The sequence below is a fragment of the Homo sapiens genome, chromosome 10 (genome assembly GCF_000001405.40).
Source record: "Homo sapiens chromosome 10, GRCh38.p14 Primary Assembly".
Taxonomy (NCBI): Eukaryota; Metazoa; Chordata; class Mammalia; order Primates; family Hominidae; genus Homo; species Homo sapiens.
Window position 1 is genome coordinate 78,296,543 of NC_000010.11, and position 17,471 is coordinate 78,314,013.

Below are 17,471 nucleotides of genomic sequence, written 5' to 3' on the forward strand. Positions count from 1 at the left end.
TCTGGTGACACAATCCATACATTTTCTTTTAAATGAAAATGTATTTTGCCTTCCTTATTAACTAATATTTTCACTAGATTTAGAAATCTGGGTTACAGCTTTTTTTTTTCTTTGCCCTTTAAATGATGTTACAATGCTCCTTCTGTACTCGTGGGGAATTGGGTTCAGGACCTCCCCATGGATGCCAAAATCCGTGGATGCTCAAGTCTTTTATGTAAAATGGCATAGTATTTGCATATAACTTCTGCACATTCTCTCATACACTTTAAAACATCTCTAGATTACTTATAATACCTAATACAATGTAAATGCTATGTAAATAGTTGTTGTATCATTTAAAAATTTTTACTCTTTTTTATCGTTGTATTGTTATATTTTATCTTTGAAAAATATTTTCCATCTGAGGTCCCATGACTGTGTTCTGCTTCAGGCCTCCATAGTTTCTGGTAAGAAGTCTGTGGTTATTTGAATCTTTGTTCCTCTTTGTAATGTGTCTTTTTTTCTCTGGCTGCTTTCAAGGTTTTCTTTTTATCTTTTATTTTAGCAGTTTGAATGAGTGTATGTAAATTTGTTTTGCACCAATTTGCAAAGTGGGTGTTGTTGTTTTTTGCCACTATTTATTTCTTTTTTTCTCTTTCTCTCTCTTTTTTTTTTTTTTTTTTTTTTTTTCTGAGAAGGCTGCTGGTCTTGAACTCCCATGCTGAAGCGTCCTCTAGCCTCAGCCTCTTGAGCAGGTGGGTTTGTGCCACCATGCCGTTTTGCCATTATTTCTTAAGAAAAAAAATTATGCTCTCTTATTCCTCTCCTTCCTTCTGGCACTCCAATTATGCATATATTAGATCTCTGACGTTATCCCACAGGCCTCTTAGACACTGTTCACTCTTTTATACCCCCCCTTCCCCTGCCCTCTTTTTTTTTTTTTTTAGGCTAAATGGCTTTTGTTGATCAACTTAAGCTCACAGCTATTTATTTATTTATTTATTTGTTTATTTTTGAGATGGAGTCTTGCTCTGTCACCCAGGCTGGAGTGCAGTGGCATGATCTCAGCTCCCTGCCTCCTGGGGTCAAGGCCTCCTGCCCCAGCCTCCCGAGTAGCTGGGATTATAGCTGTGCGCCACCATGTCCAGGTAATTTTTTGTATTTTTAGTAGAGACAGGGTTTCACCCTGTTGGCCAGGCTGGTCTCAAACTCCTGACCTCAGTGATCTGCCTGCCTCGGCCACCTGAAGTGATGGGATTAAAGGCGTGAGCCATCATGCCCGGCCATCTTCATTCTGTTTTAGGCCTATACAGTAATTGTTTAAAATATTCCAGGTATTGTATTTTTTAGTACTGGAATTTCCACTTGGTTCTTTCTATATTTTTATTTCTCTTTAGAGGTTTCCTATCTCTTCATTTATTATGAATGTATTTTCTTTTGCCTTGTTTAGCACAGTTATAATAACTGTGGTACTTGTCTGATAGCTTCAAATTCTGGGTCATCTGAGAGTTGATCTCCATTGACTATCTTTACCCTTGAGGATGGATTATATTTTCCTAATTTCTTGTGTGTTGATTTTGGGTTTTATCCTGGACACTGGAAATGCTATGTTGTAGAGATTCTGGAGTTTGTCATAGTCCTCCAAAGAGTGCTGACGTCTTTGTATTAGCAGGCATTTCACCTGGTTAGACTCAAACTACTAACTGTTTTGCCTTTAGTGGGCTGCACCTCAAATCACAGCTCAGTTCTTTAAGCCTTAGTTGCAAGTTGTCTTGAATCTTCTCTATGCATGTGTGATTCAGAAGTGAGCCAGATACTTGATCAGAGTTTACTAACAGAATTTGGGCCTTTTCTGGCACTTTCCTTTCCAGAAAATCCCCCTTCCTTTCCAGGGGCTCTGGTTGCTCTAGGTTCTGTCCTCTGGTTCTTCAGGCCATATAAACAGCATTTTCTACTGGACTTTTAGCAGCCCTGAACAAGGCCACAGCTGCAGCCTGCCCTCTGGGTAAAGTCATCAAAGTGGAAAACTTACCACATACTGGTCCCTTCTTACAAGTTTCAACATCCTTCCAAAATCTGCCTGCTTTTGGTCATTCTGGTCTTTTGATCATTTTGATTATTTCAGAGCCCTCCAGCAATTGTTTTCTGTATTATATCCAGAATTTATAGATATTATTTGTGGAAGGGTATACCTGTTAGGAGATCACTCCACTCCACTGGAAGAGGAACTTCCAGAGTGTCCTTTTTAAAACTTCTCAGACTGTGCCATTCCTCCCCTCAACTCTCCCCACTCTCGATGGCTCCCATTTTACTCAAAAGCCCAAATGCTCACAATGGCCTATGAAGCTGAGAATAATCTAGCTTCAGACTGTGTCTGACCTGTGCCCTTTTACCTCACCTTTGCTCATTGGTGGCCTCTTTGTTGTTCCTCAAACATACCTGCCTGATACACTCTTACAAGACAGCTCCATGGCCGGCAAGGCCCTGCCCCCTCCAGCCCCATCTTTAGCCATTTGCCCCGACTCTTGACACTCCATCCCCACTGGTCTGTGGTCAGCCTCGGCTCAGGCCATGTCCTTTTCCACCGTAGGGCCACTTCTTCTGCCTGCAGCAACCTTTCCTAGACTTTTCTTCTGTATATTATTCCTACTAATCCTTCCCTCTCGTAGAAATGACTGCTTCTGGCCAGGCGCGATGGCTCACACCTGTAATCCCAGCACTTTGGGAGGCTGAGGTGGGTGGATCACCTGAGGTCAGGAGTTTGAGACCAGCCTGGCCAACATGGTGAAACCCCATCTCTACTAAAAATACAAAAATTAGCTGGGCGTGGTGGCGCTGCCTGTAATCCCAGCTACTCAGGATACTGAGGCAGGAGAATCACTTAAACCTGGGAGGCAGAGGTTGCAGTGAGCCGAGATCGTGCCATTGCACTCCAGCCTCTGGGTGACACATCGAGTCTCCCACTACAAGAGGTGATTGGTACTCTCAGGGTATGTAACACTTCTTCATACCATATCACACACTTAACAATCATTTATTTACTGGAAATGCTTTGTTTGCTCATTAATTTTGAGTGCTGTGAGGGCAGGCATTCCATTTGTTTTCCTCCTTTCTGCACCCCAGGCACCCAGCACATACTAGGCACCCAGTAGATACCTGGCATCTGACTGTCAGGGCCCAGCATGGAAGCCGAGGCAGGTCAGTGAGGAACCTTTAAGAAGTCCTTGCTGTGTACACAGCCTTACAATGTATGTGGGTAGCTATTTCACCTCCTTGTTACTTTTAGAGAAATGGAGGCTCTGAGAGGAGAAATGGCTTACCCAACGTCATGCGACTAGAAATTCCAGCTTGAAGCCTCATGGCAGGAGAGCTCAGACCAGCAGAGAGACCTCAGATTGCTCCCAGCCTTGGCCTGCCTGTCACACTTCCTCTTTGCCCTGGCAGCTGCAGGGTTGTTGACTGCACAGAGTTTTTCTTCCCTTTTCCTTTCTTTCTCTCTCTCTCTTTCCCTCCCTCCCTCCTTCCTCTCTGTGTCTGTCTCTGGTGTCTGAGTTAGTTCCTTATGGTGAGTTCTTGGTCTCCCTGACTTCGAGAATGAAGCCGTGGACCTTCGCGGTGAGTATTACAGCTCTTAGAGGTGGCACAGACCCAAAGAGTGAGCAGCAACAAGATTTATTGTTAAGAGTGAAACAACAGAGTTTCCACAGCCTGGAAGGGGACCCAAGGAACTTGCCACTGCTGGCTGGGGTGGTCAGTTTTTATTTCCTTATTTGTCCCCGCCCACATCCTGCTGATTGGTCCATTTTCCAGAGTGCTGATTGGTCCATTTTACGGAGTGCTGATTGGTCCATTTTACGGAGTGCTGATTGGTCCATTTACAATCCTCTAGCTAGACACAGAGGGCTGATTGGTACGTTTTACAATCCTAGCTACAGAGTGCTGATTGGTGCATTTATAATCCTTTAGCTAGACACAGAGCACTGATTGGTGCATTTACAATCCTCTAGCTACCCAGAAAATTTTGCCAAGTCCCCACTTGACCCAGGAAGTCCAGCTGGCCTCACCCTTCACTTTCTGTTTCCCCAGGATTCACAACTGGGCTCCTCTTGCTGTGTTGGAGGGAGATGTTTCACCTGAGCACCATGTTTCACATGGCAGTGGGGCAAGGCACTGAGGCTGTGTGGCATGGCACCACAGGGTGGCCACTGGTCCCTGAGTCGGCAGACCTGGCTCTCTTTTCCCTGCCATGCTGACTTCATGTTTATGGCTAAGAAGCCTCTCCCAGGGAGCAGCTGAGCTTCAGGGGCATTCCTGGAGCGTCCAGGAGAGCAATATGGCCCTTTGCTGGTGGAGAACCTGAGACCCTCAAGGAGAAAGTGAAGAAAATTCTCTCTGCATACAGACCCCTTCCCATTTTCCCATTCTGGGTTGACTATCCTCCCTCATAGATGTGCTCATGAGTCTTGGAAATTCTCTTGACTCATTGCCATTTAAAATATCTGTGTTGCTTCTGATGATAGATGGTTGATTTATAAAATGGTTTGGCTCTCTTTATGATAGAATATTATACAGGCATCAAAAACAATAATGTAGGAGACAAGGATATGAGGAGATGTTCAAGCTGTATTCTGTGAAAAGAAAAAAAGATTGCAGAATACAGCATATGTTCCCATTTTTTTTTTTTTTTTTTTTTTACAAAAATGTGGACCTAGGTACATAATGTGTGCTATGCATAGGAAAAAGCCTGGAGAACTTGCACGAAATGGTCACACTGTTTTTCAGTGATGGTAAGATAAAGGGTAATTTTAAAAATTCCTATTCTTTTCCAGATTGTTTCTAACACTGCGCATGCCTTTCGGAGACAAATTTTAAAAATAAACATTATTTTTAAAAGGAAACAAACAAACAAAACCAAACAGAAGGGAGGCTGGGTTTCTTGGGGATTTCGGGAGTGCCTGTGTCTCCACGACCTGGGCAGTGCTCTTCTGAGAGGACTGAGGGCTGGGGAGGCAGAGAGAGCAACGACAGGCTACCAGCATTGAGAAAGAAGGCCTCAAGGCCACATTGAGAAGGACACTACGCTCTGGATCACAGGCTGAGCCCTGCATTCTTGACATTGGAGCCCTTCGGGAGTGCCAGAACGAGCAGTCCCTCTCCTGGAGGAGCCTGCCTTCCCACCACGGAGGCTAACACCACAACAGCCACAGTGAGCCACCCCTTCTGCCCATCTTCTTACGTGTCAAGCACTGTGTTCAGTGCCTTCACAGGTAACTTCGATAAGTCACGATGGGCATGCTGCGACTAAGTTGGTACTGATATTCTATTGGTTTTAAATGGGGAAACTGAGGCTCAGGAAGGTTCAGTATTTTGCTGGAGGTCACACAGCCAGGCAAGGGCAGAGCCAAGATTTCAGTTTCAATCTGTCTGGCTTGGAAGACTTCCTTATCTTGTGGCAGCATCTCCAGAGATCATGGGTCAGCCTCTTCTTGCCAGAGGCGTGTGTGTGTGCACAGACACATACACGCTGAGTGACAGAGGGACAAAAACAGTGAGCACCCACCCAGGCACTGTGCTCGAAATTCTTCCTGCAAACCTGCAAGGTAGGTTCTAATGATGTTCCCATTTACCCCTAAGCTTGCGCGGTGGCACGATTTACCAAGCATCACCGGCTGCCCAGGGTGACCTAGGATTCCAGCTCAGGTTTCTCTGACACTGATGTTGACCCTAGTGTGCTTCCGTGTGATCTTGCTTCTCTGGCTACTGGTGTTCTGCGGGTCTTGGACAGGTGAGGCAAACTAGGGCCAAATACTGCCCTCTGCCTGCCTTTGCATGGTCCCTGAGCTGAGAATGATTTCTACATTTTTAAAGGGTTGTAAAAACAAAACTCAAAGATTATGTGGCAGAAATATACATGGCTGGGCAAAGCCTAACATATTTACTTCCTGGCCTTTTAGAGAAAAAGTTGACGACTCCTAGCTTAGGGTCCTGAGGTCCAAGGAGGAACTCCTGGTCCTGCACATCTTCATCCTCCACATTTGGTGGTCCCAATGCTGCATGCGAGCTGTGGCTGTGGACTCAAAGCACTGTGGTGGGGGACATTTTAAAAATGAGCTGTAAAAATCTGCCACACTTAGGGCACTCATTTTCCCACTTATATTTTGGGGGGATATCTGTACCCAGGGAAAAGCTCAGTGATCCTTGTTGGATTTCTAGGGTGAAGGGCTTTTATCTCAGCATGGGGTCAAGTGCAGCTATGTGTGGGTGGCAATGAACTTCAACATCTAGCGTGATTCCCCTGCAAATTGGAAGGCACCAGTGCCACCCCAGGCACCAGCCTTGAGTGTCAGGCATAGTGCCAGGTGCACAAGAAGAAAGCAAGGTCCCTGCGGATCTCATACAGCCCAGTCTGGGGAAGCAGGGGAGCCCCTCTTGGGTATCCGAGTTGGAAGAAGAGGCTATGAGAATGGGAGGAGGGGCAGGGAGGACAGCCAGGAAATGCAGGCGGTGACACCTGCGCTGTGCCCTGAGAGATGAGGCGTTACGCGGACTTGGGGGAAGGGACGTGGGGAAGTTGGTGCTGGCCAGGCGCGGCGGCGGGAAAGGCCCTGGGCAAAGGGGCCCAGAGGGGCGGCGGAAAGTGGAGCGGGGCTGTAGGTGTCAGCAGAGACGCGGCTTTGGGGCCGGCACGGCCCGCCCCTCGGCCCGCGCGGCCATTGTCTGCGCCAGGCGCCGCCTTGGCAGCAGAAGGTGACATCTGGTGACTAATGGCCGCGGCTGCGCGCCGCGCTCCTCCCTCCCGCAGCGCCCGGGGCGCAGCTGCCGCGCCGCCTCCTCCCCACTCTTCTCCCCTCCCCTTCCCTCCGCTCTGTGGGCCAGCGCGGGGGCGCGGGGCGGGCAGGATCGATGCCCTGGTTTCCGAAGGGCAGAGGCCGCCCGACCTCCAGCCGGCCGGGCCGCCCCGCCCCGCCCCACCATCGCGCATGCGCGTCCTCCAGAGCGCTCCCTTGGCAGCCAGCCCGCGAGGACGCGGCTCCCCGCCAGGGGCAGTGCAGGGAACAGTCATGCCTCCCTGCCCCCGGACGGCCTCACTAGCGGCTGCAAACACCGGCCCATACCGGAGCCTATATGCATGTGCATTAACTCGCAGGTGCACGAACCCACGGTCACACGTGCTGTCATGCATTGTACACCTGTGCTTGTTCATGCGTGTTCACAGACGCATACGTGGGGGCCGTGCTCGCCCACAGACTTACCTCCAAAATGTCTTTGAGTGTGTTCACATAGGTACACGCATCACGTGTGGACTCGCGCAGCCATGCACTGCTTACACACTCAAATATAGGAACACCCATGGGCATGTCTATATATACACTCACAGGCACAGCAAGTGATGCCCTTGTTCTTGCCAAAGGTTGAGGGAGGGACAAAGCGCCTAATTTAGATCTGAGACAGGATCTAGTGTGGACTAGGTACCCCTCTTCCCCAGTGTTTACACTACTTATAAATTAGTTGCGTTTGAGAAACTACATAAAAAACCTGGAGATTTCACCTATAGATCTGGATTTCTGGCTTCTTTTGCAAAATCAGAAGCTCGGGAAAATTAAGGCATACTCCCAGCTTATCACAATGCGCTGGGGCTGAGCTGCAGGGTATCCCTCAGTCTGTGATTAAAGTTCCCCTACCTCCACCCAAAGGCCCCCTCCCCATGCTGGTTCCTTCTTCCCTAGCCAGGATTTCCCACGTGGAGCCTCAGCCCTAGCCCTGACTTTGGAGCTGGGCTAACTAGCTTTAGCCCTGATGTCCACAGCAAGGAGATCCTCTCCACTGTATGATGTTGGGGGGGGGGGTGCTGCCAGCCATAAGGAATCCCTCTGCAGTCTGCAAAGTACCCTCTTCACGCAAGGACGTGGTTCACCACAGCAGAACCACGTGTGGTTCTGCTGACAGCTCCGAGAGCAGAGCGCTAGTGCTTCCATCTTATAGTTGAGAAGATGGCGGCTTGGGAGTAATGATATTACCACCTAGTTGGAAAGTGCAGATGGGGTTGCAATCACTGTAGCTGAAGTGTGGGAGGGGGAGCAGGGTTCCTCTACTTTAAGGTGCCCCTGAAGCTGGCTCCTGCCTGGCTCTGGCACATCTGTCTCCCCTCTCTGATATTGTTCCTCTCAGCCTCTGGCCTGGTGGGGACGCCTGGTTCACTGAGGGAGAGGCCAGTTCCTGAAGCTTCTGGGTGTCTGCATGATGTCAGGCTCTGGCTAAACTAGCGAGTGGCAGCCCAAGAGGCAGTGGGGAGCTATGTGGATGTTAGTGTCACCCACTGCCCACCAGTCCTGGTGCCCCTTACTCCTGCATCATCTCATCCACTCAAGGGCTCTGGCTACCTCTGAGGGCTGACACCCTGCCCAGTGGCTCACCTGAGCGCCTGTCTCACTTATTCTTCTCCACTGGAAATCTGGCATGTCCTTGACTCTCAGCATGTCCAAAGCCAGTCTGTGAAGTGGGGTGACCTCAGGTGGGGTGTCCAAAGTGGGTATAGCCTGAGCTCAGATCCCAGCTCTCCTTCTCCCTCCCTGTGTGACCCTGGACAAGTAATTGCCCTCTGTGCCTTCAGTGTCCTCCTCTGCAAACTGAGAACCATAATAGTACCTGCTTTGAGGATTGCCCAGTGAGGATTAATTGAGGAAATTTACACAAAGCAATCTGTGTGGTGCCCAACACAGATCCGGTGCTCAGTCAATACCAGTGCTTTTTAACTTTAGCTGGTTCTTCCTTCCGCTGCTCCCACCTTGGTTGGTTTGTACTTTCACCAACCCAGGACAGGATGCTGAGAATTACTCCTGCTCCTCTCTTTGCATCTTCCACACATTCAGTCCTGTCAATTTGACCTCCCCAATATCTCTGGAGTCTGCGCTCTCCTCTCACCCAGGGTGCCTCTGCTCTGGTTTGGTTTGGTGTCACCTCTGGTCTGCACACTTGTGTCCCCTAGCCAGGTTCCCAGGCTGCAGGCTCCTCGAACTTAAATCCAGTTTCATTGCTGCCTTTGAAATGCACATGGTGTCACTCCACTCTTAAGGTGCACATCCAAGCTTCATGACCTGGCATTCACTGTGGGTGGCTGAAAGGATAGCCATGGGTCTAGGGTGAAATTTTAGGAAGTAAAGCTGGATGTGTGCTTTTTCTCTCACCGTCCTGTGTCTGCCAGACCTCACATTTAGCAGCCAGTGGACCCTTCACTCCCACCTATCATACACATTTTCTCCCCTCCATGCCTTTGCCCAAGCTGTACTCTCTGCCTGGAAATCCCCTTCCCCACAATTCCAACTCTGCTTTCTGTCTTGAGCTCACCTATCCAGACCCTCCAGCCTCCCTTTATATTCAGTTGTTACCTCTCTCTCATGATCTGCTTAGAGCACCCTGCATATATTGCCTTGATTTTGCACTTAACCTCATTTGTCATATTTCTCTGTTTACATACCACCCAGACCAATGCTTCTCAAGCTTTATCAGGCACATGAACCACTTGGGGCTCTTTTCCAAATGCAGATTCAGCTGGTCTGGGCTGGTGTCTCTGTATTTTTAACAAGCTCCCTGGTGATGCTAATGGTGCTGGTTCAGGACTATATTTTAAATAACAAATACTTGGATAGTGAGTCCCTAGAGGGCAATGACTTGTGTTCAGTTCATCTTGGTATCCCTGGTACCTAGCTAACAGCTTGACAAATGGAAAATCAATTAAATGCCTACTGAAGTAAACGAATGAATGAATGAATGAACGAAAGGCATCTCATCCAGATGAGAGTGTTGGAAAGTCTTTTGGAGTTGTTGACACCTGAGTTGCATTGTTAGGGAGGTATAGGAGGGAGCCAGGTAGAGAAGGCAGTGGCGGGTTGAGATACTCCAGGTGAAGGTCAGTGCTAAGGCATAGGGATGTACAGAAGTGCAGGTGCAGGATAGTGTAGGAATGGAAGACTTGAAGTTCAAGGTGTTGGGGAAAGAGACCAGGTCGCCAATAGCCAGCCCTGGATTCCGTGCTAGCTTGTTTGATCCTAGAGCCTTTGGAGAATGGCATAATTCCAACCGTGGGCCACTCCTGCAGCAAGCTAGGAAGAAATTCCAGGGAGGAGATGTAAGACTGGGTAGTCACCTAGGGGACTTCTCAGTCAATGGTGTGGAGATCAGCCCATGGCGGTGAGGATGGAGTCAGGGAACAGATTAAAGAGAAACTGAGGAGGAAGTATAGACAGAACTTGATGAGTGAGTGGAAAAGAGGGTGAAGGAAGGCCTCCCCCTTTTACTGGGAGGCACCTGGGTGAGTGGTGGCACTGTAGACCGAGACTGGAGTTCAGGAGGAGGAGGAGCTGGTCTAATGGGAAGGCTGAGAAGTTTAATTTCAAAGCTGGCAGGATGTTAAGAGCCTGTGGGACGTCCAGAGCATAGGCACCAGGAGCTCCTGAGAGAGTCCAGGGCTGGAGATGACAGTATGGAGGCATCGGCTGACAGATGCTCACTGAAGTTTTGGGAAAGAATGAGATCATCCGGGAAAATCTTAGAAATAAGAAGAGAAGAAGGGAGAGGGGGGACTCTGGAGGGAAACCATTCATTTAAAGAGCAAGAATTAATGACAACCTGTTAGAAGATAAAATGGGAATAGAACACATTTATAACAGCAACAAAAAAGATAAAAAACCTGGGAATCAACATAACAAGAAATGTGCAAAATCTAACTGGAGAAAGCATTAAAATGCTTCCAAGGGACAAAAAAACATTTGAATAATGCTCTTGGATGGAAAACTAACATCATAAAATTGTCTATTCTCCCTCAGATAATTTAGAATTTAATAAGGTTTTCAATAAAAATGAAGCCTTTGTTGTTGTTGTTTAGACAAACTGATTATAACACTCATATGGAAAAATAAATAAGTGTTGAGAGGCCTCTGCACGAGCAGAAGTAATGACTACCTCTGTTCCAGACTATCTTTGTAAAGACAGACTAGTGAACATGTTTGGAAGATAGAGATAGTGTTTTCCTCTGGAGCAAAGAGCAATTTGTTTACTGTCCAGTATAACAAAGATAATGTCCCCTTCTAGGGCAAAAATCAGGCAAGCTTACTGCCCATTGTAAAAGATTTAGGCTCTCTAAACTGAAAGTTTTTCTCCTGTAACACAACTCACTGCTTGTGCAGGTATCACCTGTCATACTGTGGCACTTGGGGCTTGTGTAACCATCACAAATGCTGACACTCTGGCTACTGCTATTGCCACGAATAATAAAGTCCTTTGTCTCTGACTCAGAAGTCTTGTGTCTTCTGCCAGCACAGAAACAGGACAGGCTAACTTGCTGGTTTGCAGGCAGAGTAAAAACCCTCTTAGACCCTTCACAGTTCTTGACAAGAAGAATAACTAGCAAATATCTGAAAGCAGAATAGTAAGGAGTAGGGGCTACCTTGCCCTGTCGGGTATTAAACCATACTATAAAACTATATTATATAAAACAATGTAGTACTAGACAACACAGCAGAACAAAATCAAATTCCAGAAATTACACATATGCATTATTCAATAAATGGAGTTGAAGCAACTGGAGAACCATCTAGAAAAAAGTGTTGGATCCATATCTCATACTTTATACTAGAATAAACTCCATATGAAACAAAAATGTAACTGTAACAAAATGATAATATAATAAATGTACCAGAAATGTGAGAATTTTAAAACTCTTAGAATGGAAGAACTTTCTAAGTATGACACATGACCCAGAAGCCATAAAAGAAAAGACTGATAATTTTAACTTTTTTTTTTTTTTTTTTTTTGAGATGGAGTCTCTTTCTGTCGCCCAGGCTCAAGTGCAGTGGCGCGATCTCGGCTCACTGCAAGCTCCGCCTCCCGGATTCACGCCATTCTCCTGCTTCAGCCTCCCAAGTAGCTGGGACTACAGGCGCCTGCCACAACGCCCGGCTAATTTTTTGTATTTTTAGTAGAGATGGGGTTTCACCGTGTTAGCCAGGATTGTCTCGATCTCCTTACCTTGTGATCTGCCTGCCTCAGCCTCCCAAAGTGCTGGGATTACAGGTGTGAGCCACCGCACCTGGCCAATTTTAACTTTTAAAACGAAACTTCTGCGTAGCAAAACCCCAACATACACAAAGCTAAAAGACTTTGAAAAGATTTGTAACTTATATTACTGACAAAAAGCATATTTCCTCATAACATAAAAAGTGTCCACAAATCACTATAAAACAGATCAATAACCCAAAAGATAGATGGACAAGATATAAACAGTTATCAAAACCTAGGAGAATATGCCACTTTACTCATAATAAGAGAAATACAATTAAAATTTCACTGAGACATCATTTTCATCTCTCAGTTTGCTTAAGATCAAAACAGTGGATAACACACTGTGTGGATGGGAAAACAGACACTCATTGCTGATTGAAGTGAAAATTTGGGGGTACAACTCAATGGGGGGATATCTGGAATATCTACGGATGTTACAAATGCTTCTGACCCCACAATTCCACTTGTAAGAATATATGCTATGGAGAGATTCCCATACATGAAAAATGATGCATGTAAGATGAGTTGTTACATTGTTTGTAATGGCAAACACTGAAAGCAGCCCAAATAGGCATCAAAAGAGAGATGTTAAGACAAATCAGGTGCATGCATATATGAGTATTCCTGTGATGTACAGATATGGAAAGATTTTCAAGATAGGTTGTTGTGAAGAAAGCAAGACATACTTCAGTGTGCATAGAATACTGCCATTCTTGTGAAAAAGTAAAGGGGTGTGTGTGGAAGAATTTGTAGACATATGTGTGCATACATGCACACTTCTACTTAATATGTCTGTGGAGGAATATATAAGAAACTGATAATGTTGGTTGTCTCTGGGGAGAGGAACCTCACCATTGGGAGGCAGGGATGAGAAGGGAAACTTCTTGTTACACACATTTTTATACCTTTGGAAATCGAGAATACACTACCTCTATAGGGCTTCCCCACAAAAATAACAAAGAGAGTGAGCAGAAGATAGGGAGCCCATGACAGAGACTAAGCCTGTGCAGGTGGAGTCTCAGAGAGAAAGCGGAAGAGAGCTGCACTGGAGGAGCCCACCAAGGAAAACATCTCAAGAAGGAGGTAGGATCCTGGCCTGAATGCTGCAAAGACATTAAGAATTTAGATGAGGATTTGGAGACGTGCAGTCGATGTGTTCATCGGGTCCATGGTGACCTCGGTGAGAGTGCGTTCAATTCAATTGAGTATGTGACTGTGTAAGCCCGAATGCGATGTTTAGGAGAGAACGAAATGTGCAGAATTGGATATGGTAAACACTTTCAGAAAGCTTGGTCATGAAAGGAAGATGAGAAGGTGGAAGCTGATGGGAGACAGGGCAGCTTGTGGGTGTCTCTTTCTTCTCCTCCTCCTCCTCTTTTTCCTACTTCTACTCCCTCTCTTCCTTCTTCTCCTCCTCTGCCTCCTCTTTCTTCTCCTTTTCCTCCTTCTCTTTCTCCTTCTCCTCTTCTCTTGCTCCTTTCCTTCTGATTTTTCCCTTCTTTTCTTTTTCCTCCTCCTTTTCCTCCTTTCCCCTCTCCTCCTTCTTTGTCCCCATCTTCTTTCCCTTCCTCGCCTCCTCCTCATTATAATTATTATTATTTAAAAGAGGCAGGCCGGGGGCGGTGGCTCACGCCTGTAATCCCAGCAGGCCGAGGCGGGTAGATCACAAGGTCAGGAGTTCAAGACCAGGCTGGCCAATATGGTGAAACCCCATCTCTACTAAAAAAAATACAAAAATTAGCTGGGAGTGGTGGTGGATGCCTGTAGTCCCAGCTACTCAGGAGGCTGAGGCAGGAGAATCGCTTGAACCCAGGAGGCGGAGGTTGTAGTGAGCTGAGATCAGGCCACTGCACTCCAGCCTGGGAGACAGAGCAAGACTCTGTCTCAAAAAAAAAAAAAAAAAAAAGGAGGCAAAGTGTGCATGTTTGGCTAGTGATAGCAAGCTAGTAAAGAAGAATCCCTGCAAGTTACAGGAGTCAGAGGGGACTGTCTGGTTATCTGTTGCTGTGTAACGAATCACCTCAAAACTTAGAAGCATAAAACTGCCACTGTTTTATTATGCTTGCAATTCTTTGTGTCTGGAATTCTGACAGGGCACAGCAGGGACACTTTGTCTCTGCTCTACAATGTACAGGCCTCCGTTGGGATGCCTTTGACACAGAGGGTGGCTGGCACTGTGTGAGAGCCTCCACTTTTCTCTGCATGTAAGATGGCTTCTTCATGTCTGGCACCTGGGCTGGGATGGCTGGAACAGCTGGGGTCTGGCCAGCATCACTCATTTTCCATGTGAGTTCTCTACATGGCTGGCTCAAGCTTCTTGACAGCATACTGAGGGTCCCTGGGTCCCAGGACCCCAAGTGCAAAGTCCAAGGTTCTTATGACCTAGTCTTGGAAGTCATGCAGAGTTACTTCTATTGCATTCTCTTAGTTACATATGGCCAGGCCAAAGTCAGTGTGGTGGGGGCTATATAAGGATCTGAATACCAGGAGGCATGGTTCATTGGCAGCAGGGGGCATCTTTGAATCCTGGCTACCATAGGGATCATCAAGAAAGTGAGCTTTTTGGCCGGGCATGGTGGCTCACGCCTGTAATCCCAGCACTTTGGGAGGCCGAGGCGGGCAGATCAGGAGGTCAGGAGATCCAAACCATCCTGGCTAACATGGTGAAACCCCGCCTCTACTAAAAAATACAAAAAATTAGCCGGGCTTGGTGGCGGGTGCCTGTAGTCCCAGCTACTCAGGAGGCTGAGGCAGGAGAATGGCATGAACCTGGGAGGCGGAGCTTGCAGTGAGCCGAGATCATGCCACTGCACTCCAGCCTGGGCGACAGAGCAAGACTCTGTCTCAAAACAAAAACAAAAACAAAAACAAAAACAAAAACAAAAACAAAAACATGTGTCTAGAAGTGCTTGATTGCCTAAGAAGTATGTTTCTGGAAGCGCCATGAAGTGTCCTAACTGATGATTCCTGGAATTCCACTGTTAGTACCACAAATCTGTGTCAACTCAAACTCATTAGAGCATCAATGATTCACCATCAAAGTCAAGAGGTGGCCAGCTAGAGCTTTTCCAATGAAAGGGGTGCCCCCTCCTGCCCAAAGCTATTCTCATCTCAATGCTCTGGATCCTAATCCTGTTGGATTTCTCCCTTCCTTCCTTCCTTTCTTCCTCCCTTCCTCCCTCCCTCCCTCTGTCCCTCCCTTCCTTCCTCTCTCTCTTTTCTTTCTTTCTTTTTTTTCTTTCTTTCTTCCTTTCTTTCTCTCTTCTTTCTCTCTCTCTTTCTTTCTCTTTCTTTCTTTCCTTTCTTTATTTCTCTTTGTTTCTTCCTTCCTTTCTTCTTTCTCTCTCGCTCTTTCTCTCTTTCTTTCTTTCTCTTTCCTTCCTTCCTTCCTTCCTTCCTTTCTTTCTTTCTTTCTTTCTTTCTTTCTTTCTTTCTTTCTTTTCTTTCTTTCTTTCCCTCTTCTTTCTTTCTTTCTTTCTTTCTTTCTTTCTTTCTTTCTTTCTTTCTTTCTTTCTTTCTTTCTTTCTTTCAAATAAATCACCCATTCTGTGGTATTCTGTTAAGTGGCCAAGCAGCATGGCTCAGGCAGTCAGGACAGATTGAAAGAGGAGGGTTGGAGAAATCTAGCACAATTCTATTTTCCTAGATGAACTTCTGAGAAGTCACCTTGGCAGCATCCAACCCAGCTCAACTTGCATTCGAAGTAGGCTGTGCCGGCCTCCAGAACAAACTTCAGCTATCTGATTACCTGGAGAGGGGATGCTCTGATGGCCAGAGCTTCTGGCTTTCCATCAGACCCACACAGAATGTTCACTGGTTGTGGGAGGGCAGAATCCCTGCCCTCAAATCTCTCATCCATCTAAAGAACATGCTTGGAGGGAAATTAAGCAGAAGTAGGGCATTTGCGTGTGTATGCGTCAGAGTTGAGGTGAGTTGGCGGGTGGGGGAGAGGAACAAGTGACCCCCTCCCTTAACTTCCCGGAGGGAGGGGAACTATTGGCAATGGCCAGAAACAGGATAGAATTGTCCAAAGGACATGACCTCAGCTACAGGAATCTGAAAACACAAGTCACAGTTCTTATGTAAAAATGGCAAATTTCTTACCAGGAAGGAAAATTAAAAACAAAAAAGAGCTATGAGCACTTTAGCATGCTTTTCTGGGGATGACCCCTCTGTGGTGGGTCTCAGATGAAGCCTGCCATGACCATATCTGACAGGCTGGTGCCTCCCTAGACACTTCCCTCGCCTTCTATCCTGAGTGTAATCCCAGCGCGCTCCAGAGGTTTGGCCTTTCTGAGAAGTGAGGGCATGACTCAGTCAAGGTTCTATTGTTGTAAGTAATGGAAACTGACTTGAGTTAACTTCAGCAGGGAAGGAAATTCACTGGAAAGAATCTGGTTTATCTCACACAAGACAAGGGCTGCTGGGCCTCCTGAGGCATGGGACCCAGGAGTCAACATTTGCCAAAGTGTGTTCCATGGTTTGCTACTCCTAGCAGATGCCTGAGAAAATAAAACGCTCTGTGATCCAATGAGTTCGGGAAATGCTACTTATCTTTTTTCTCTTAATATGCACGCTGGCATATTAAAGGCTCTGATAAGTCTTGCAGCAAGAAAGCTCATTTAAGTAGACAAGCACTTCCCTAAAATATTTGTGGAATAAGGTATACTTGTTGAGAAGGTGATTAAAGAGGAAGAGTTTCCCACCCTGGCTCTCACCCTGTTGTGATGGGGAGCTGACTTTACTGTGAAGAATATATACTAGACAGGCTATATGTCTAATGGTTAGGGGCATGGACCACCTGCTTTTGAATCCTGATTTCACCACATGCTAGCTGAATGATCTAGGCAACTTATTTAGTATCTCTAGGTCTCAATTTACTATCTATAAATCAGAGGAATAATAATAATATCTCTTGAGGTTGTAGTAAGGATTAAATGAGCTAATCAAACTGTTTGGTTCACAGTAAGTACGAAAGTATTGAGCTATTATTACGGATTGAATACACACACTCTTTGCTATGAAATTCACAGCACTGGGGGTAGCTCCTGTTTAACAATCACTTGTTGGTGTCTACTCCTAATGGACTGGGGACACAGAGATGAGTCTGGTGGTATGTCCCAGCCTTCATGGGGCTCCCAATTCTGTGGGGTAGAACAAGCATATTAGAGATTATTACAAAGAGGGATGGTAAGAACAGAGTACTATGACAGCCCACAGGAGGAGCACCTAGCCCAGACTGAGGGGCAGGGGCGATAGCGGCATGGGAAGGGTGTTGCAGGCTAACGGCATGAAGGTGCCAGCCAGCTTTGGGCATCCCAGGCAGTCTGGTGTGGCCAGGGAATGAGGTGAGAAGTGATGGTGTTGAAGATGTTGGTAGAGACTGTCACAGGGAAGGCCTTGAACACCAGACCAAAGAGTTGGGGTGTTATTCT

The 17,471-nt window shown here is 46.6% G+C and overlaps 1 long non-coding RNA gene across 1 annotated transcript in view, besides 1 other annotated feature; it reads left to right on the top strand.

The window, feature by feature from the left end:
• Nucleotides 1-5,470: 5,470 nt before the first annotated feature.
• The window catches only part of LOC124902468 (uncharacterized), a 28,799-nt gene continuing 16,798 nt past the window's right edge, over nt 5,471-17,471 (top strand). The window contains exon 1 of the long non-coding RNA XR_007062212.1: nt 5,471-5,579. This is a non-coding gene — a long non-coding RNA (uncharacterized LOC124902468). The remainder of the gene's footprint in view (nt 5,580-17,471) is intronic.
• Nucleotides 6,514-7,123: a silencer, noted in NCBI's record as "silent region_2518". NCBI's record gives its function as "represses an Ori minimal core promoter by ATAC-STARR-seq in GM12878 lymphoblastoid cells {active_cell/tissue: GM12878}" and the evidence as "EXISTENCE:reporter gene assay evidence [ECO:0000049][PMID:35858748]".